This window comes from Homo sapiens, chromosome 1 (genome assembly GCF_000001405.40).
Source record: "Homo sapiens chromosome 1, GRCh38.p14 Primary Assembly".
NCBI lineage: Eukaryota > Metazoa > Chordata > Mammalia > Primates > Hominidae > Homo > Homo sapiens.
The window spans coordinates 7,915,393-7,915,870 of record NC_000001.11 but is presented as its reverse complement, the minus strand read 5'-3'; positions in this window follow the sequence as shown (position 1 = coordinate 7,915,870).

Below are 478 nucleotides of genomic sequence, written 5' to 3'. Positions count from 1 at the left end.
CCTTATTTTAAAAAGCTTTTTATAACTGTTGCAACATCATATCATAAAGGGTAATCATGAAATAAGGTGCCATTCTTTGTAAACTTTGGCTTTTAGTGCCGAAGGATGCTAAAGATTTCCAGTATGAGATTCCTTTTGCTTTCAACAATTGACTTATTAGTTACATAAAAATGGATGCTGTTGATCGGGTGCAGTGGCTCACACCTGTAATCCCAGCACTTGGGGAGGCCAAGGGGGGTGGATCACCAGAGGTCAGGAGTTCAAGACCAGCCTGACCAATATGGTGAAACCCTGCCTCTACTAAATAATACAAAAATTAGCCGGGCGTGGTGGCATGCACCTGTAATCCCAGCTACTTGGGAGGCTGAGGCAGGAAAATCACTTGAACTTGGGAGACGGAGGTTGCAGTGAGCCAAGATCCCACCACTGCACTCCAGTCTGGGCGACAGAGCGAGACTCTGTCTCAAAAAAAAAAAAA